Source organism: Homo sapiens, chromosome 6 (genome assembly GCF_000001405.40).
Source record: "Homo sapiens chromosome 6, GRCh38.p14 Primary Assembly".
Classification (NCBI taxonomy): Eukaryota; Metazoa; Chordata; class Mammalia; order Primates; family Hominidae; genus Homo; species Homo sapiens.
Genome location: NC_000006.12, coordinates 44,376,796 through 44,397,418, shown reverse-complemented (window position 1 = coordinate 44,397,418; position 20,623 = coordinate 44,376,796). Strand labels below are relative to the sequence as shown.

At 42.2% G+C, this 20,623-nt stretch overlaps 2 protein-coding genes and 1 long non-coding RNA gene across 4 annotated transcripts in view, besides 1 other annotated feature; 1 reads left to right on the top strand and 2 right to left on the bottom strand.

The window, feature by feature from the left end:
• CDC5L (cell division cycle 5 like) overlaps nucleotides 1–9,713 on the bottom strand; it is a 62,720-nt gene extending 53,007 nt beyond the window's left edge. Inside the window, exons 1-5 of the mRNA NM_001253.4 lie at nucleotides 9,551–9,713; nucleotides 7,048–7,151; nucleotides 4,591–4,752; nucleotides 3,846–3,973; nucleotides 979–1,078 (exon numbers count right to left, since the gene is read on the bottom strand). Coding sequence (NP_001244.1) covers nucleotides 979–1,078; nucleotides 3,846–3,973; nucleotides 4,591–4,752; nucleotides 7,048–7,151; nucleotides 9,551–9,595 — 539 coding nt within the window. The 5' untranslated portion in view covers nucleotides 9,596–9,713. The remainder of the gene's footprint in view (nucleotides 1–978; nucleotides 1,079–3,845; nucleotides 3,974–4,590; nucleotides 4,753–7,047; nucleotides 7,152–9,550) is intronic.
• Nucleotides 9,500–12,857, top strand: LOC124901323 (uncharacterized). The gene is made up of 4 exons (XR_007059595.1): nucleotides 9,500–10,380; nucleotides 11,250–11,369; nucleotides 11,890–12,038; nucleotides 12,308–12,857. It is a non-coding gene; the product is annotated as an uncharacterized LOC124901323 (long non-coding RNA).
• Nucleotides 9,632–9,831: an enhancer, noted in NCBI's record as "active region_24638". NCBI's record gives its function as "activates an Ori minimal core promoter by ATAC-STARR-seq in GM12878 lymphoblastoid cells {active_cell/tissue: GM12878}" and the evidence as "EXISTENCE:reporter gene assay evidence [ECO:0000049][PMID:35858748]".
• SPATS1 (spermatogenesis associated serine rich 1) overlaps nucleotides 17,240–20,623 on the bottom strand; it is a 37,530-nt gene continuing 34,146 nt past the window's right edge. For both annotated transcript variants that reach the window (NM_001372081.1, NM_145026.4), the window contains exon 9: nucleotides 17,240–20,384. In NM_001372081.1, the coding sequence (NP_001359010.1) occupies nucleotides 20,356–20,384 (29 nt within the window). In that variant the 3' untranslated portion in view covers nucleotides 17,240–20,355. The remainder of the gene's footprint in view (nucleotides 20,385–20,623) is intronic.

Genomic DNA, 20,623 nt, shown 5'->3' with positions numbered 1-20,623 from the left:
CTAGCGAAATAGGAACTGGACAATTCCAATTATTATTCACCCAACGGGTTAATAAATCATGCAGTTTTATTGGTCCTAAGGATGCCTAGACTAATTATTGAACTATGAATGGAGACAAGCACACATTGTGAAATAATGTATTTGGTCTTCATCCGTTTCCAACAATGCAACTCCTAAAATCCTGGGACTCTTCCAAGTGAAAAGTGTCTTTCTGCATGTTAATGAGTTGACTGATAGCTGGCAGTCACCAGAAAGACCACGGCAGGATTAGAGGGCTTGGGACTTTCAGCCACAACCCCCAACCTCAGGGGAGGGGAGAAGGGCTGAAGGTCGAGTTGATAAGCAATGGCCAATGATGTAATCAATCTTGCCTATTTAATGAAGCCTCCATAAAAACCCAAAAGGACAGAGTCTGGAGAACTTGTGGGCAGCCAAATACATGGGGGCTTCCGAAAAGGTGAACAAGAACACACCCACTGGCTGGGAGGGTGGCATATCCCAACTTCAATGGGACATAAGCACCTGCACTCAGGACCCTTCCAGGCTTCACCCTGTGTATCTCTTCATGGGGCCGTTGATTTGTATCCTTTAAAATATCCTTTGTAAATGTGGGTGTTTCCCTGAGTTCTGTGAGTCCTCTAGCAGATGAATGGAACCCAAGGAAGGGGCAGTGGAACCCAGCTCGCTGGTCAGAAACACAAGCAAAATAACCTGGGGTTTAGGGTCAGCATCAAAACTGGGGTTCAGTCTTGTGGGACTAAGTCCTCAACCTGTAAGATCTGGAGCTATCTCCAGGTAGACAGTATTAGAGTTAACTGAATTAGAGGACACCCAGCTATCCACTGCAGAATTGATTGCCTGATTGCTGGTGGAGAGGGGAAAAAAAAAAAAAAACCACATATCTGGTCACAGAAGTATTCTGTGTTGATTGTTATGTGAGAAAAACACTTTGCTTTTTATTCCTATATCCACACATACCTTGCTTCTTCCAATTGTTTCTCTCTTGCTTTCCTCTTGGCCTTCTTTCCCTGAGTATTAGCCAAGCGGGCTCTGGCTTCAGAAAGCATCTCAAGTTCATCTGCAAAAATTAAAAGAAGAAAAACTAAGTATTTTCTTAGTTCTTACATACTCTAGAAGCAAGGTATGTAAGAGACACTCTATTGCTCAAAATGAGAAAAAAACATAAAAATACTGATTTTATGGTGTAGCATAATGGAAACAGCTTGAGTTTTGAAGTCAAAGAACCTAGGTTAAAAACCAGGCCCACCACTTGCTAGCTATGTGACCTTAGTCACTTACTTACCCTCCCTAAGCATGGTTTCCCTATAAAATTCGAATAACAATTCCTATTTCACAAGGATTTTGAGAAGGGCTAAGTAAAACGAAATATGTAAAGCATCTCGCAAGCATTCATTAAACAGTGGCTACAATTATTGTATCCTTCATTATTATCAACTAACTGGCACAGCACAAATTGTGAAATAGGGTAAAAACTATTTAATTATGAGAGAACAACTATCATTAGATACTTTTTTTTCCCCTCAGAACAATTTCTCTCATCCAATACATTTTTCGTGGCTCTATAGAATGGAATAATACATGCCACTATTGATGCCTTAGAACAATTCCTATGCAAGGCTGTCCAACTAAATCACATGGGAACTTGTAAAATACTCAGATTCCAAGATCACTGCTCTTCCCGTGCCTCCCACACCACCCCAGATGTACTGACTCAGTATATACAGGAGAAGCCCTGATATTTCTATTTTTAAATGCTCCCCCTGTGATAATGATGCAGCCAGCCTAGCCACAGCCTGCCTTTGGGAACCACTATGTTCAAACTTTACATTTTAGAAACTTAACAAATATTCACTGAGTGCTTCACAACAACCCTGCTAAGGTAAAGCAGGTATTAGTATTCCCCATCTCGCAAGAAAGGGAATCAAAGCTCAGAGAGATTTTATGACTTGTCTAAGGTCAAACAGCTAATAGGTGGCACACACGGGTTGAAAATCCAATTCCTGATTCTGTTAACTGATACATCATACTTTACATATTTATAGGGTACATGTGAGAGTTTGTTACATGCATAGAATGTGTAATGATCAAGTCAGTATATCTGGGGTACCCATCACCTTGAGTATTTATTTCAGACCTCTCTTCCAGCTACTTTGAAATATGTAATACACTGTTGCTAACTATAGTCACCCTATTCTGCTATCAAACATTATAACTTATTTCTTTCCATCTACGTTTGTACCCATTAACCAACCTCTCTTAATCCCGCTCTCCCACCCACACACCATACCCAGCCTCTGGCATCTATCACTCTATTCTAACTCCATGAGATCAACGCTTTTAGCTCCCACATATGAGGAAGAATATGCAGTATTTGTCTCTCTGTGCCTGGCTTATTTCACTGAACATAATGACTTCTACTGCCATCCATGTTGCTGCAAATGACATGATTTCATTGCTTTTTATGACCAAATAGTATTCGTGTGTGTGTGTGTGTGTGTGTGTGTGTATACCATTTTTTTTTTTTTTTTTTTTTTTTTTTTTTGAGACAGGGTCCTGCTCTGTTGCCCAGGCTGGAGTGCAGTGCTTGATCTCAGCTCATGGCAAACCCAGCCTCCCGGGCTCAAGTGATTCTCCCACCTCAGCCTCCCCAGTAGCTGGATCTACAGGCATGCGCCACCACACCTGGCTAATTTTTGTATTTTTTTATAGAGGCAGGGTTTCACCATGTTGGCCAGGCTGATCTTGAACTCCTGGGCTCAAGTGATCTGCCCACCTCAGCCTCCCAACGTGCTGGGATTACAGGCGTGAGCCACCATGCCCAGTCCACATTTTCTTTATCCATTCACCCATTAATGGACACTTAGGTTGATTCCATATACTTTCTATTGTGGAATTCCTGATTCAATGCCTCCCAGAATCACTGTTAAGTCTCCATCACCGTCTCACAGGTTGCCTTCTCACACAGAATAAATAACTTGCCTATAGTCAAATAAGTAATTAATAGGAGGACTGAGGTCCAATATTCTGACTTGATGTCTCTCTCCATGGAATAGGAATGAGAAACAGGATCTTCAAGGGCTCACCTCTAGCCTCTGAAAAATCTACTCAGTAGAATTACACTACTCAGTTTTAAAGACAGGGTCTCGTTATGCTGCCCAGGCTGGCCTCCAACTTCTGGGCTCAAGGGGTTATGTTGCCCAGACTGGCCTCCAACTCCTGGGCTAAAGAGATCGACCCACCTCAACTTCCTTAGCAGCTAGCACTACAGGCACATACCACCACACCCCGTAACACTTAATTAACTTAATTAACTGAATTGAAGAAACAGAAGATGAAGGGGCGCTGTTCAGAAAAAGCAACTACTCTATAACAGAAAACACTGGACATATTTGGAAAGATACTTAGAATAAGAACACTGCTGACAGAATTGGGGATCAGGTATGGTGGCTCACACCTATAATCTCAACACTTTTGGAGGCAGAAAAGGGAGGATAGCTTAAGCCCAGGAGTTTGAGACCAGCCTGGGTAACACAGGGAGACCCCATCTCTACAAAAAAATTTAAAAATTAGCCAGGTATGGCGGCATAAACCTGTAGTCCCAACTACTCAGGAGGCTGAGATGGGAGGATTGCTTAAGCCCAGGAGGTCAAAACCGCAGTGAACCATGATTGTGCCACTTCATTCCAGCCTGGGTAACAGAGCAAGACCTTGTCTCAAAAAAAAAAGGGATTCTAAAGTAGAGGAGTTCAGAAAGGAACTAAAAGAGTGAGGCCCAAGGAGTTTACAGTTACCAAAGAAATAAATTCCTCAAAGCATACACTTACCCTCATCCATATCAATTGGATCAGGCCGCGCTGGTTTTGTTTCTGGATTTGGATCTATTTCTCCAGGTTTAAGTTTTCGTGGATCATCTGTTGTTTCCTCTTCATTGTCTCTTTGGGCAGCTTTATCCCTAGAAAAAAGCCCATAGGAGTTAGTCACACTACAGTACCATTTAGAGTTAAAATTACCAGATTTCCAAGTTCTGACGATATTTTTCCCCCCAAAAAAACCAATGGATGGGCTTTAACAACATAAAGCCTTTTTACTATCACTTCATCTGAAAGAAATGATATTAAAATTTGCTGATTTCAGTGACTGGTTTCAATCACTCTAAAATAGAACCCAAACAGATCCTAATCACAAATGCGGTACAGCCATACAAATTTAAAAAAAAAAAAAAAAAAAAAAAAACTATTAGTAAAGAACCAAAATGTTCCAGTAGTTAATTCTTAGCAGTGTGATTATGGGTGACTTTTATTTGCTCTTTTACTATTTTTTCCCCAGATTTTCTATGATGAACATGCATGACTTGTATAATTCTTTTAAATTATTATTTTAGGAAGTATATGACAGAAGGCATAATTTTGATCAACCATCTGAGATATGGAAAATATTATCCAATGGCTTTAGCTTTGGGTTTACTCACATCCATAATTAAAAGTTTAAAGACAGAAAATACTCAAAGTTTATTCAGCCTCTTTCAGAACATATACATATATTCTATGCTCTTTCTGAAGACTCACTTACAGAAGAAATTCATAGTGTTCTAAGCACTGGGCCGCTGTTCTTCCAATGATTGGAGCAATGGTCCTCCACTGAGTTGGCATCAACTTGGCCAAGTGCAAGAGTTTTTCCTCTTCTTCTCTGGACCATTCTGTCTTCTTAATGCTTGGATCCAGCCATTCATACCTATTAAACATAGATCATTTTATATATTAATCAGTTACCTGGCATAAATATCCAATTTGCACAATGGATACACTGACTTGTGCTCTCATCCTTCAATTACAAAAACTGTTCTTTTTGACAACAGAATATTTGCTGTGTGGTTACACTTACCCCAGTCAATATTCCCCATCTCATCACATTCTATTTTATTTTAATTATGCAAGATTAGTAATGGTTAAAAAAGGTTACTTCACTGAATCATGATCATAAGCCTTCTTTCTCATCTATCATGTTTTTATTTATTTACGCTTTTCTAGAAATTTTGAAATATTTGGAAGACAATACAAAATCACGTTTCTTACAGTGTTTCCAGTTTTCATACTATTTTCTCATGCTTTGATTCTCACACCATGGCTTATTTCTTTAAGCATTTGACTTACACTCACTAAATTCACCGTAACCTTTCATTTGATATGTTTTAAAATTTAAGTAAAACTACTATGACATTCCCTCTGTCTTTCCTAATTCCCCACCCAGCCCACCTTTTCCATCCAGTCTACTTAGCTGGATGACAGGCAGGCAAACAGGACTTAAGTCCTACCAAATATGACAGCAGGAACTGGTACCACTAAGACAAACAGAAATCAGAACGACTTCTTCAGCCTAAAAATCATCTTCCTCTTAACAGCCAATTTCTACATTCAAAAAGCCTCACTCTGTCGCCCAGGCTGGAGTGCAGTGGCAGCATCTCAGCTCACTACAACCTCCACCTCCTGGGTTCAACCGATCCTCCCACCTCAGCCTCCCAAGTAGCCACCACGCCTGGCTAATTTTTGTACTTTTAGAAGAGACGGGGTTTTCACCATGTTGGCCAGGCTGGTCTCAAACTCCTGACCTCAGGTGATCCCAGCCTTGGCCTCCCGAAGTGCTAGGCTTACAGATGTGAGCCACCACGCCTGGCCAATTTCTACATTCTGATACTTTCCCCTAACCAGGTGCCTAGGAAATTAGGTCATTCTTATACAATCCAAAGTATTTTCCTAATGCCACATGACTTGGGGATGGTGCTAAATAACTCATGCCAAGAACACCCTAAATAGCTTCACGTGTCCACTACCCTATGATTTAAGAGGTGACACCAGCCGGGCGCGGTGGCTCACGCCTGTAATCCCAGCACTCTGGGAGGCCGAGGTGGATGGATCACGAGGTCAGGAGATCAAGACCATCCTGGCTAACACGGCGAAACTCCGTCTCTACTAAAAATACAAAAAATTAGCCGGGAATGGTGGCAGGAGCCTGTAGTCCCAGCTACTCAGGAGGCTATGGCAGAAGAATGGCGTGAACCCGGGAGGCAAAGCTTGCAGTGAGCTGAGATCACGCCACTGCACTCCAGCCTGGGCGACAGAGCAAGACTCCGTCCCAAAAAATAAAAATAAAAAAGAGGTGACACCACAGGTTCAGAGTTGGCTTATATCTTTTAATATATATAACATATTAAATATGTTTAATATATACAATATATAACATATTAAATATGTTTAATATATAATATATAACATATTAAATATGTTTAATATATAATATATAACATATTAAATGTTTAATATATAATATATAACATATTAAATATGTTTAATATATAATATATAACATATTAAATATGTTTAATATATAATATATAACATATTAAATATGTTTAATATATAATATATAACATATTAAATATGTTTAATATATAATATATAACATATTAAATATGTTTAATATATAATATATAACATTAAGTATGTTTAATATATAATATATAACATATTAACTATAAAATATATAATATTTCAACTGTATTATGAGGAAACTCAACTACTGTAGGCTTACTTAGAAAATTAGCCATTATTTATCATTTATTTCTTTGAGCAAGTAATTTCTAAAACAGCTAACTTATGCACTTTTAGAACACAATTAATTTACAAGCTGGGGCTCATCTGTCCCTGAAAGTAGACTTTGTATGCTTCACAAAGCACTCTCAAATACATTAACCCATTTAGATGACAACTCACATCTCTATCAGTCAGGACCAAGTATTATTATCCCTAATTGGGAGAAAACAAGGGCAGGGGAGAGGGATAGAAAAATGGCTTGCCTAAGACCACACAGGAAGCAAGTGACAGCTAAGTCAAACACCCAACTTCCATCTCCCACTCCATGCCTTGTTATATTACAATGTCTGCTTTCTTTGATAAGGTTCACAGAGTTGACATTTTCCATCATCATAATTAAGCTCCTTTTCTGTTTTCCACTTATTAAACTGATACATACCATCTGGCTTTGCACTGCTTTGCTGATTTTCTATGCAGCAATGAGGCAATCCTAGACCACTGATTTTTCCCATATTTCATTACCGCTGCTTTCAGAATTTCATCCTAAAAAAAATTGCCAAAGAGTACATTCAGTCACAAAACTCCAAGTGGGAAAAGACAAAATTTAAATTAACTCTGATAGGGCTATTGGAGAAAGAGACATATAACATGCACATACACACCACCTAGGTTAAAAGACTAAGGATGAAAACCTCATTAACTATAATAACAGCAACCAAGAATTGAGAAATTAAGAAGAAATCCCTTAGAAAGACAGCTACCCACCCTTACACCACACTCTCCAATAAATTGGGAGTGGGAACAGCCCAATCTGAGAAACCCTACTTTATGACAAAAATTAAGAAAAAGTATTCTTCAACGTGTGGCTGTCCTTCTCTTCAAAAAGGATAACTAAAAAACACAACAACAACAAAAATGTATAACTCATTCATTTATACACTCACTCAAAAAACACTTCCTGAACATCTACCTTGAAACATCTACCTTTCCCTTGGGGAAAGGTCTTATCAAACAGGACATATCCAGGCCTCAAGAAGCAAGTTGGGACTCTGGTGAATATATTCTCCAATCCAAGCCTCCTGTCTCAAGTTTATACATGGCATTTCCCCTCCAGCCCCTTAACCCCAACTATGACCCAAGAATCCACATCTCAGGTCTAACCTAAGAATTACATATTTCTACCCCAACCCCACTAGTCAGCTCTCCTTCCAATTTCCCCCCATCTCTAGATACCATTTCACCAGGGCACCCATTGCCATGTGGAATGCACCAACCTCAAGGAAGCCTGGCAAGCCAAGCCAAAGACAAGAAAGTTAATGGAGCCATAGATGCATGCACTTAGGCGATTTTACTTCTAGGCTTTTTTTCCCACATTGGATTTGAGGTACGTGCCTCTTGAGATACCCCACTCCATCCTCTACATCTCCCATGATCAAAGATACTTTTTAAAAAGACTGCAGAGCTTTGACCACTGCATAGGAATCCTACTGTTACTTGATTTTATATCTGTCTCTCCCTCAGAAGTCATCTCTTCTCCAATTTAAACAGTCTGGTTCCCTCGGTGGAAGCTGAGGCAGTTTTCATTGTCTTTTTTGTAACTTGGTTGCAGTACAACTACACTTAAACACATTTTCAATTAAATAGATACAGCAGATACCTACTCTACTTGATTCATTCTGCAAATACCTGTCGAGCAACCTACTTCATGTTGGTTACTGTCCTAGGTCCTAGGGATACCAAGACCTGGTCCTCTCGCCATGCTGTCTGGTGAGGTGAAAGAGCAACTAGCTCTTACTCAGAGGCTACTATGTGCCCTACTCTGATCTAAATATTCCAAACGTATTAACTCGTGTAATCCTCAAGAGAGGTTAAGTATTATTATCCCAATTTAGAAAAAGTAGAAAACTGAGGCTTTCAGAAGTTAAGAAACTTACCGAGTACCACACAGAGGATGTGATGCTTACAAAAAGACAAAGCAAGTTTTAACAAACGGAAGAAAAAGGTATCATGAGAATATCGGGGGTGCAATTAATTCTTACAGAGATTCCAAGAAGTGTTTCCGAACTAGGTTTGAAGGATGATCAGAAAGATGTCAAGCGCTAGGAAGGCAAAAGATGTAAAAAAAAAAAAAAAAAGAAGCCATAAAATGTAACGAAAAAAAGACACAGAGCATGAAAAGACATGATGTGCTCCAGAAACTGATAAATTCGGTACACTCTGAACACAAAACGCACTAAAATCTAATTTCTATTTCACTCCCACTCTACTGCCCTTTGGCTCACCAATGGCACTATCCACTACGTTTCTGGAAACAGAGACTATCCTAGGCCAGTTTTTCCTTTCTGGCTTCTATCTAGGCAAAGGCAGTGACAGAAAGAGACAGACCTTGGGATCTGTCGAGATGGCAGACAGGTTATGCCCTGATAACAGATAACCAGAGAGATGCGGGCATAAACGGGCTCTCTGAACCTGGCACTCAAACTGCTTCCCCTCTGCAAGGAAGTCAATGGAGACACAAAGTTGTGGCCACGGCAACTTCTTTATTTCTGAGTATGAGACAGAGTCGTGGTGCCTGGACTAAGAGTGGATGGTGCCCCGGGGGACCAACTCTGGCTGAGTTGGAACTCTGAGTTCTTCCCGGGGCCGGGGGGGGCGGGGGGGCGGGGTGGGAGGGGGCGTATTCAAGTCAACAAATGTTCACTCAGGGCCTAACAAGTGAGCTTGGAGCCGAGTAGCCAGGTGGTGACATCACGGTCCCTGTCCTACTGGCGCTCGCACAACACGGGGCCAGACACACGGAAAGGGCCCCAAGGGTCAGCCCCCGGGCTGCCCTCCACGCAGACCCCACAGGGTCTCCTCGTCGCCCCCCCGACCTCCGCGCGCGTGCGCACAAGCTGCTAGAGGGAGCGGCGGGCAGCGGACGGCGGGAAAAGGAGACTTACCTCGGTATTCCTCCATACGCCCCCCTTGATCATAATTCGAGGCATCTTGGCGGCAGGGTGTCTCGGCAAGCAGCCGAGAGGAGCTTCAGAGAAGTAGTAACAGCGATTGGGCCACCGGACTCAAAGCCGCCACTTCCTCCAAGCGCGACCTTCTGCTTTGAAGATCTGCGCAAGCGCAAGGTGGGAGGGGGCGCAGAATAGCAAGTCTCGCGAGATATTGGGTGGCTGAAAGGGAAAAAGTGTCTTGTGGAAGCTCAGCTGCAGGAAGACTAACACAAAACCATCAAACCACTCTGGCCAAAGCGCCTTACGCCCCGCGCATGTCCAAAACAGAATGGAAGAAACTACGGCTCTCGCGAGATAGCGGCGGTAGCGCTTGGCTGGGAACTTAGTGGTGGGATTGATCGTGACGTCACCGAGTGGCAGAGGGTGGGAACGTCACGCGTACGGAATTTCAGCACAGTTGCTCCGAAGAAGGCTTTGTTAATTTATTAATCTAGCCCTTTCAAGTATTTCAGTAATAGGAATTTATTCACAGAATACTCAGGAAAATCCAGTAGTTTATTTAAGGCTCAGTTTCCTAACCTGTAAAATAGAGATCATAGTAATGCCAACCTCACAGGATTGTCGTAAGGGCTAAATGAGATCATAGACCCAGCACAGTATCTGATCCATAATAACTGCTGCAAAACAATAGCAGCTATTACTGCAAGGAGGGCAACGCCAACTTCACCCCGTCCCCAGGTGATCCAGGCTTCTTCCAGAAACCTGCAGAAACGTCACGTCAGAGTTTTTAATTCATCGCCCAGTCTGGATTAATAATGCCATTGGTACGCACTGGTATTAGACAAAGTCGAGTTGGGTTGAAATATTGTGAAATCTTGGCTTTCTCATAAGTTTGGGTAATAACCTTACTGAATCTCAGTATCCTCATCTGAAAAGTGGAGCTAACAATACCCGCCTCGTAAATGAGGAGGCAGATTAACTGAAACATAACTAAAACCCAGTGAGGTAGGGATTGGCAAACTCTCTGCTACCCCACCCCAATTACTCATGCAGTCTCCTTCATCCTTCCAGAACATCTCTGGCTCCATCCCTGGAAAATATCAAAATATTTAGTGGGTTGGGAAATGCCCTATTTATAGTACTTAGTATTTATATAGTGCCTATCTCTTTATATTTCTTCATTTCTCCGTTTGCCTCTTCTGGAAGAGCTACAGAATTTTCTTTTTCCTTTTAGCTTTTATTTACACACATTCTGTGCAATTATGGTCAGCAAGAGGGCATTTTCCATGGCCACCCTGGTAGTGTTTGCCACTCAAAGGTTTATGCTGGCGGGCAGCCCGCCCTTGAGCTGTTTACCCACTGTGTGGTGTATAAGAAACCATTGGACCTGTGGCCAGTTAAACTCAAACAAAATGTTTTCATTTGGACCTCTCCTGTAATGGGGCGGTTTTTTTTTAATTTGTTATATTTAATTTTTGTGGGTACATAGTACACACATATTTATGGGGTACATGAGATATTTTGATACTGGCATACAACACATAATAATCACATCAGGGTAAATGGGGTATCCATCATCTCAAGTGTTTATCTTTTGTTTTACAAACAATCCAATTATAATCTTTTAGTTAATTTAAATGTACAATTAAATTATTTTTTACTATAGTCACCCTGTTGTGCTATCAAATACTAGGTCTTCGAGATTTTAACACTGGAGCATAGAGGAGGTCAGTCTCTACTGACTGCTGAACATCCAACACGTGACACCCAGGAGTTGTCTACCACCATGTTTTGGACTAAGGGAAAAAAGCAGGTAAAGAGAGAGATGTAAGTCCTGACCATGTCAGAGTACCTGGATCCAGCATGTTCCTGAGTCCCAGCTGCATTCCTGTCCTTGCATTCTGATTATTAGTTTCCTATTTGTGTTAGCCACTTGGAATTGGGTTTCTATTATTTGTAAGGAAGAGTCCTAACAATTCCAGAGATGGACCAATACTCTGTCAGAGGCCTTTCAGATCTCACATTCCAAGAGTTGATGAAGGCTTCTCCCTCCCACTCAGGGCCACCTCTTTACCATATGTTACTTTTGTGAGAACTAGAAAAAGGTGCCCCTTCCTCAAGACACTTTATGCCACATGCTGGAAAATTGTCACAAAATACTGGTGTTCTGAGAACAGGGCACTCTATTACAAGAAAATTGGATCTACCATCTCCACTATGTGAATTCCACCCCTAGAGACATGCATTGTACAACTTACTCATCCAGGTAAAACAGCCCTGTCAACTGTCCCTCATTTCACCTTTGAACATGCAGATTGTATATTCCCTTTCAGAATTCAGAAAAATGCAACATCATGGAAGTTCCAGGATGTCTGAAACCAGAGCACTGTAGCCACAAACATCAGAACACAAACACACTGTTCTCCAGGATGGCCTGCTTGGCCAGCCTCCCCCACCATACTACTGCAGCCTCACCAGCCAGGTATGGGAACCCTTACAAAGAGGCCACAGGGACTGCCAACAATCTCTTGAGGGACAGCCATAAGAAGCATCTATCGTTAGGCAACCAGACTATATGGTCAGTCACTGTGAATCTTTGGTAAAGTGAGTGGCCACTGCTAAATAGTCTCACTCACCCAAGGCATTTTTCCCCAAACATGTTCCTTAGAACACCAGTTACATAAAATACTCCATTTAAAAAAAAACAAAAAATAAAAAAAAACATGGTTTTTATGTCCTCCCCTCTTGCAGAGTCACTGAAATTAAAGCCTGTAAGAAGCTGTCAGATGAAAAAATCTGTTTCTCCCTGTTGAGAGTTGAATTGTATTCCCCCCAAATAGATATGTTCAAGTCCTAACCCCTGCTACCTGTAAATGTGACCTTATTTGGAAATAGAGTCTTTGCAGATGTAATCAAGTTAAAATGAGATCATACTGGAGTAGGTTGTCCCTAAATCCAATGAGTAGTGTCCTTATAAGTGGAGAAGAAAAAAGATACAGACACACAGGGGGAATATCATGGGAAGAAAGAGGCAGAGATTGGAGTGATGCAGCTCCAAGCCAAGGAATGCCAAGGATTCTGGCAGCCACCAGAAGCCAGGAGAAGGCATGGAACACATTCTCCCTCTGAGCCCCAAGAAGGAGCCAGCCCTGCTGACACTTTGATTTTGGACTCCCAGCCTCCAGAACTGTAAGAGAATACATTTCTCTTGTTTTAAGCCACTTAGTTTATTGTGCTTTCTTGTGGCAGCCCTAGGAAGCTAATACACTCCTTTGTTAATACAGCAGATCCTTGAATAACATCATTTTGTGCAAGATCGTTTCATGATAACATTGATGAGTCCAGGCATGGTGGCTCATGCCCGTAATTCCAACACTCGGGGAGGCCAAGGCAGGAGGATTGCTTGAGCCCAGGAGTTTGAGACCAGCCTGAGCAACATAGTGAGACCCCATCCCTACAAAAATATTAAAAATTAGCTGGGCATGGTGGTGCACACCTGTGATCCCAGCTACCCATGAGGCTGAGATGGGAGGATCACTTGAGCCTGGGTGGTCGAGGCTGCAGTGAGCCATGATCACACCACTGCACTCCACCCTGGGCGAGACCTCATCTCAAAAAAAAAAAAAAATCCGCTTGAGGCCAGGGCCACTGTCTGTGTGGGTTTCTTCCAGATACCCTGGTTTCCTCCCACATCCCAAAGCTGTGCAGGTGAGGTTCATTTGCAAGCCTGCAGTCTGAGTGAGTGTCAGGGTGTGTGAGTGTGCCCTGCAATGGGATGGTGTCCTGTGTGCTGTCCAGAACTGATTCCTGCCTTGTGCCAGGATAGGCTCCGGCCACCTGTAACCCTGAACTGGAATAAGCGGGAGTACATTTCTTGTTTTTATTAATCTTTCTTTTCTTTTCTTTTCTTTGAGACAGAGTCTCACTCTGTGCAGGCTGGAGTGCAGTGCCACAGTCTCGGGTCACTGCAGCCTTGACCCCCACCCCACTGGCTCAAGCAATCTTCCAACTTCAGCCTCCCGAGTAGCTGGGACTACAGGCGTGCACCCCCATGCCTGGCTAAGTTTTGTATTTTTTTGTAGAAATGGGGTTTCACCATGTTGCCCAGGCTGGTCTCAAACTCCTGAGCTCAAGTGATCTGCCCCCCTTGACCTCCCAAGGTGCTGAAATTACAGGTATGAGCCACCGTGCCCAGCCTAATCTTTCTTAAATGTATGCATAGCTTACACTTATTTCAATGTTTAATATTAGAAGTGTTTTGGTCTTTGTTTAGAAGTTCGTTGATGTTTTGTGACCAGAAATATGCCATAGAAACTTAACTCTTGTTTATATCAATTAGCCTATGGTAAAATTGATTACATGATACATCCTTTTGCTTAAAGTTGCAGTTTCCAAAAACCTAACAATGATAAAAATGAGGACTTACTATATAGCATTTCCAAACTAATTTGACCCTAAAAACCTTTTGTGTTATATATCCATTGACACTCAGGAAACACAATTTGGGAAACTCTGGCTCAGGAAAAAGAGGTTAGAAGTCCATCCAACTTACAAAGGGGAACCAGAGATGTTAGCAGGAGGATTTTTAGGTTGCATTGTCCCCATTTCCCTACCCCTCACCCCTCTCTGGGTAGCTGGTTCTGAATGGATTGACATTTACTTAGCAGAGAAAGTAATCAAAATTCTAGTTTCCCTTTCATCCAGTTTTTTCACCACCAAGAAACTATGCAGGAAAGGGCTAAAATTAGGGGCAAAAGCCTATGGCAACAGCAAGGCATAGTTTAGAGGCAGGATTAATGACTCTCACAATCTTCATCATCTCCCCAAATAAACATGCATAATAATTTAAATAAAAATACTGTCCTGCTTTGCAAATGCAGTCATGTGTCAATGACAGGGATACATTCTGAGAAACGCATCGTTAGGTGATTTCACTGTTGTGAGAACATCACAAAATGTACTCACACCAAATCTAGATGCAGTAGTCTATTACACACCTAGGCCATATGGTATATATAACCCTTTGCTCCTAGGCTACAAACCTGTACAGCATGTTACTGTACTGAATACCATAGGCAATTGTAACACAATGGCATTTGTGTATCTAAATACAGAAAAGGTACAGTAAAAACATTTATCAGTAAAATGTCTTCTAATAATTGTTAAAAGACATTTGCAAAACAATAAAAAATAAAGAAAAGATACAGTAAAAATATGGAATTATAATCTTATGGGACCACCATCATATATGCAGTTTAGAGTTGATCAAAATGTCGTTATGCATTGCATGATGATATCATTTCAAGACAGGTCCTCTAGCCCAACCCATCCACCAGATTGCCATCCATAAGCCCCTCCTTCCCATTTAGAAATTCCTCAACCAGCATTGGGAAAAGCTAATGTCCTGGTGTCAAGTTGCTACAAAATGATTTCCAAGCATCCTAAATCCTGATAATTCATGTTGTATTGCTGAAAACATCACCTAAATTGGCTTGAGTTTCATCCATTGACAATTCCTTGTGGTGGATCCAGTTGTGGTTTTATAGTTCTTTCTCAGGGTTCACCTTTGTGGGTGTTCTCTAGGGAGTCCCCTGTGCCCTGAAGTGGAGAAATGATCCCAAGGAGAATTTGCTTTTGCTCAGGCCCTGAGGTTTGAGGGTCTTTTTGAGCTCGTTGCTCAGTTTGGGATGGATATTCCAATTGTGTAATTTATATCTAGCCCCTGCATCTACATGTCACAGGCTTAGAATATACATTTCTCACAGGGGACTTTATTTTTCACATGCGTATATCCAGACCCCAGATTTATATGCCCGACTACACCCTAGATAGTTCCACCAGTGTCACAAGTTCCTCAATGTCAAATTGCCCAACATTGACCTCCTGCCAAAAAATCTGTACTTCCCCAGCATGCCTCATTTCAGCAAATAGCACAAGGCTGCTGCATATGGTTGTGTAAGAAGTTCACTGCACAACAAGGACATGGGGATTTAAATCCAGCTTGCACACAGCTCACTAAGCTGTGCATCCACAGGGCTGTGTCCACCAAGAGGGCATCATTCTCTAGTTGTACAAAGATGCTACATGAGGTCCAGATGGCCCTGGCAACTACACCATCATCCATCCAGTTGCCATTTCTCCTTCTCGTATATTTTTACCCCACCCATTCCCAAGTCATCCCAGAGTCTCACCACCTTGACCTCCTACTTAGTCCTCAAATCTATCTCCTTTGTGCCACCTGCACTATAAGTTGCCAGTTCTGACAAATAAAAATGCAGAGCTCGGCCGGGCGCAGTGGCTCACACCTGTAATCCCAGCACTTTGGGAGGCTGAGGCGGGCGGATCACAAGGTCAGGAGATCAAGACCATCCTGGCTAACACGGTGAAACCCCGTCTCTACTAAAAAAACAAAAAAATTAGCCGGGTGTGGTGGCGGGTGCCTGTAGTCCCAGCTACTTGGGAGGCTGAGGCAGGAGAATGGCGTGAACCCGGGAGGCAGAGCTTGCAGGGAGCCGAGATGGCGCCACTGCACTCCAGCCTGGGCGACAGAGCGACACTCCATCTCAAAAAAAAAAAAAAAAATGCAGAGCTCCCATTTAAATGAATTTTAAATAAAGAACAAACAATATTTAGTATAACTATGCCCCTAAATCCATTCTGTCTAACAGAATCCCAACTTTTACTCCAGCCCAAACTGTGCTCAGACAAAAGAACACATTTCTAGCCAGATAAGCATACCCTTGCTCACAGCTTCACCACTGGAAGCTGGATCCGTCTGCTGCCCCCACACCACATTTGGTGGAGGCAGACACATTTCCTCAGAAAATAAGACATTGGGATATTTTGGCTGCTTGTTTGATATAAGGCTAGGACCCTTCATGCACACCACAAAATGTTTACTTTTCATGTAAGTGTTATAGCCTGGATTTAGGAGCCTCAGTGTTGGCTCCCAGGTGAGTCAGTAGTGGCCTCCCCATTCCTGAGGGTGGCATCAGGCCACAGTACCTCTTGGGGCTCCCCAGCATGGGAAGGACACCAGTCATCTCAAATGGGCTCCCACATCCTCTCCCAGAGTGTGCCGGGAACTTGGCTCGTAGACCCCGTAAAAAGGTGCGCCATCCTGCATCAGGCATGTGGCTCAGTTCTGGGTAGAGGTAATTATATACCCAAGTACTCTCTCCTGATTTCCCAGCCAGGAAAGAAAAGCCTCTTTAGGACAGAGACATGATCTTGAAGGACTCCAACTCTAAAATACTTCACCAAGTCAAGTCCTGTAAACAATGTGTTTACCTGCCTAGATTTTGAGACCAAAATGCCTAAGAACAAAACAAAACTAACCAAACTGAGTGCCTCGTATTAGAAATGTGGACAATTAGTGGAATCCTACAGTATATTCCTAAATTCCTTGTGGAATTTTAGAAGTTTAATATCCTACTATCTTAACATTTTGGTAACTTGGAGTTCAGAGATCACTAATTCGAACGTTGGTGCCACTAGCTGAATAATACAATGTTTCTTCATGTCCACAGAGGTCATTTTTCATTTATCCCAGGATCCAAAATTAGAATACCTCTGTGCAATATAAAATTGCACACTAAGAAATTTACTTGTAAAGTTTCACATATAGTTTATTTCTATTGAACTTCAGTTATTGAAAGTAAGAATTGAACACACACACACCTCTGCACCCACATGTTTTTATTTACCAAAGACCCTACAGTGAGGTGAAGGGGATCTTTACATCTAACAGGTTCAACCTCTTTCTAGCTGGAAAGAAGCAAAAGCTGGAACAGCTATGATATGCACATATTTTTCCCATGTGGCCTTTCTCTATGCCTTTGTCTCCCCACACACGTAGACATACTCATGCTGTCCAAAGTTGGCAGTGGAACTCTACCTGACAGCTATTGAGGTGCCGTGGAATAAGGCCTGGGCATCGAGATGTACCCACAGAGAACACCAGATCCAGCGAAAACTGCCCTGATTTTCAGGGGATGAAATGTAGCTCTGCAACTCCAGAAGTTCAATCATCTAACAGTTGTGTAGGGTTTTTTTGTTTTTTTGTGTTTTTTTTTTTTACTCATGGTTTTTGCGGCCTGGATTAAAAGAAAAAGGAATCAAATCATATCTACTTAGAGCAGCACCTAGGAATTATATAGACCTCTTTGAAACCTAGAGACTACTCCAAACCTTCTAAAACTGTATTTTGGTTGTTTTTCTTTCTTTCTTTCTTTCTTTTTTTTTTTTTTTTTTTTTTTTTTTTGAGACAGAGTCTCACTCTGTTGCCCAGGCTGGAGTGCAGTGGCACAATCTTGGGTCACTGCAAGCTCCGCCTCCCAGGTTGACACCATTCTCCTGCCTCAGCCTCCCGAGTATAGTACAGTCCTGGGACTATAGGTGCCCACCACCATGCCTGGCTAATTTTTTTGTGTTTTTAATAGAGACAGGGTTTCTCCATGTTAGCCAGGATGGTCTCGATCTCCTGACCTCGTGATCCGCCTGCCTCGGCCTCCCAAAGTGCTGGGATTACAGGCGTGAGCCACCACGCCCAGCCGGTTGTTTTCCTTAATATATTTATGGTGTAGGACTCCCTCCTTCCAAAACACCAGGGAACCTTCTGAGAGCAGTTTCCTGTGCCACCTAGATAATCTCACCAGGAAATCTCTGCAGAATCTTTTTTTGTTCTATATTGTGTCCTCCATTACTAACCCACCTGGTGGTTGCAGTTGACTTTTTTTTTTAGGGGTGGGGCATTGTTTTTGACTAGGGGAAAGAAGACTTTTTTACATTTAAGTAATAGAGGCACAAAAAATTATTATCTTTTCAGAAGTTAATGTGTCCTGGAAAATCTCTTGGCAGCCTCTGTCTTTTTAAAAATTATTTGGTGTTTTTTTAAATTATTATGTTGGGAGCAGGGGTGGGCCTGTGACCCAGGGGCCAGAGGATTAGCACGGATGTATGCTGATGTTAACCCAAGGAGTGGTCAGGCACAGCAGCTGGCAGTCGGCACCATGCTCTCTGCCAGTTAGTCTAGAGGCACATATGAAGGTGCCATGAATGCATTGTGGTTTTTGTTTGCTTCTTTGTTTTTGGGATGGAGTTTCGCTCTTGTCGCCCAGGCTGGAGTGCAATGGCATGGTCTTGGCTCACTGCAACCTCTGCCTCCTGGGTTCAAGAGATTCTCCTGCCTCAGCCTCCCGAGTACCAGGGATTACAGGTGCCCACCATCTTGCCTGGCTAATTTTTGTGATTTTAGTAGAGACAGGTTTCGCCATGTTGACCAGGCTGGTCTCGAACTCCTGACCTCAAGTGATTCGCCTGCCTCGGCCTCCAAAAGTGCTGGGATTACAGGCATGAGCCACCACACCTGGCTAAATGTATCGTGTTCTAAACCTGCTTCATTCACTTTGGCTGTGACTGGAGACAACAAACATTTTGGGAAATAAATCATGCTCATGTCATAGACATGTGGAGTCTCAGCATGGACCCCAATCTCTTTCCACTTTAAGGTTTTGGAGATACTAGATCTGCAGCCTTCATTAGCCAGCCAAGGGGGTTCCCTAGTGGAGAAAGAGATTGGCTGTAAAAATGCCGTGAGTCACTAGTTTGACTGTGTCAAAGCCTGTGAGGCAGCTTTTGTTTTCACCTTTTCCTCCAAATGTTTGCTTCTTGTCTGATTGACAGGAGGCCCTAAAACTCATGACTGGTGGTCACTGAGCTCTCACCCTGCTTGGCTATTGTAGATAGGCAATACTAAACTGGGGAATGCAGCTACAGGGCAATAGTATTACTTACCTGGTATAGATCCAGCCTTCATGTTTTTCTGACATGTACCAAGTTAACATTAGAGAAACATTCCAAAAGGTATTAATAAAATGAAAAGTTTTACCAAAAGCAATGAAAGTTCACTGCTATGGTCTAAATGTTTGTCCTCCCCACCCCAAAATGCATATGTCGAAACCTAATCCCCAAGGTGATGGTATTAGGAGGTAAGGCCATTGGGAGGCGATTAGGTCATGAGACCAGAGCCCTCATGAATGAGATTAGTGCCCTTGTAAAAGAGACCCCAGAGGACTAGCTCACCCTTTCTATCATATGAGGACACAGCAAGAAGGTACTATCTATGAGCCAGAAGGCTGGCCCTCAGCAGACACTGAACCTGCCAGCACCCTGCGCTTGGACTTCCCAGCCTCCAGAACTGTAAGAAATGAATTCCTATTGTTTATAAGCCATTCTGTTTATGGCGTTTTGTTATAGCAGCCTGAACAGGCTAAGACACTCACATCATGTCTGTATTTTATGATTGATTTGAGGGCATCCTTAGAAAACTAAATATAATTGACTAAAATTGAATGTGGACTAAATGTTAATAATATTTTATCAGTGTTAAATTCTGTGAGTTTGGTATTTGTGTTGTGGTTGTTAGACAACATCCTTGACCTTAGAAGATACATGCTGAGGTATGTAGGTATACAGGTGTAAAGGGTTACAATATCTGCCACTCACTCTCAAAGAGTTCAGCAAAATGGTAACTGTAATATTGTGAGAGAGAGAAAGTTTGAACAAATATTAACAATGATAGAATCTATGTGAAGGATATGCAGGTGTTTGTTGTACAATTCTTGCAACTTTTATGTAAATGTGAAAGTTTTCAAAATATAAAGTTTTAAAAAAGCAAAGCACAACACTTCCTCATAAGGGTCAAACACTGGATTTAGAACAGTCACATGACAAAAAACATCAACTGGAAAAGGGTCGCCAGAGTGCAGTCAGCACATGTTTTGTGGGCCTGTTTATGCTCAGGATTGTCTTGGAAAGTCCAAAGCACCTGTGGATAGAGGCATGGAGTTACAGGTTTTCTTCCATTACAAAACTAACAATTCTCAATCAATACACTCGACCCCCAATGCTTGGCTATGACATCTGCCCATGAGACCACCTCGGGACAGAAGACACATCCACTCCAGGAGATACTTTGCCTGCCCTCCTTTCCACTGTGAAGCCTCTCAAAATCCTGTTCTCTGGACTCCTCCAGTTTTGTTTTGTTTGTTTGTTTGTGTTTGAGGC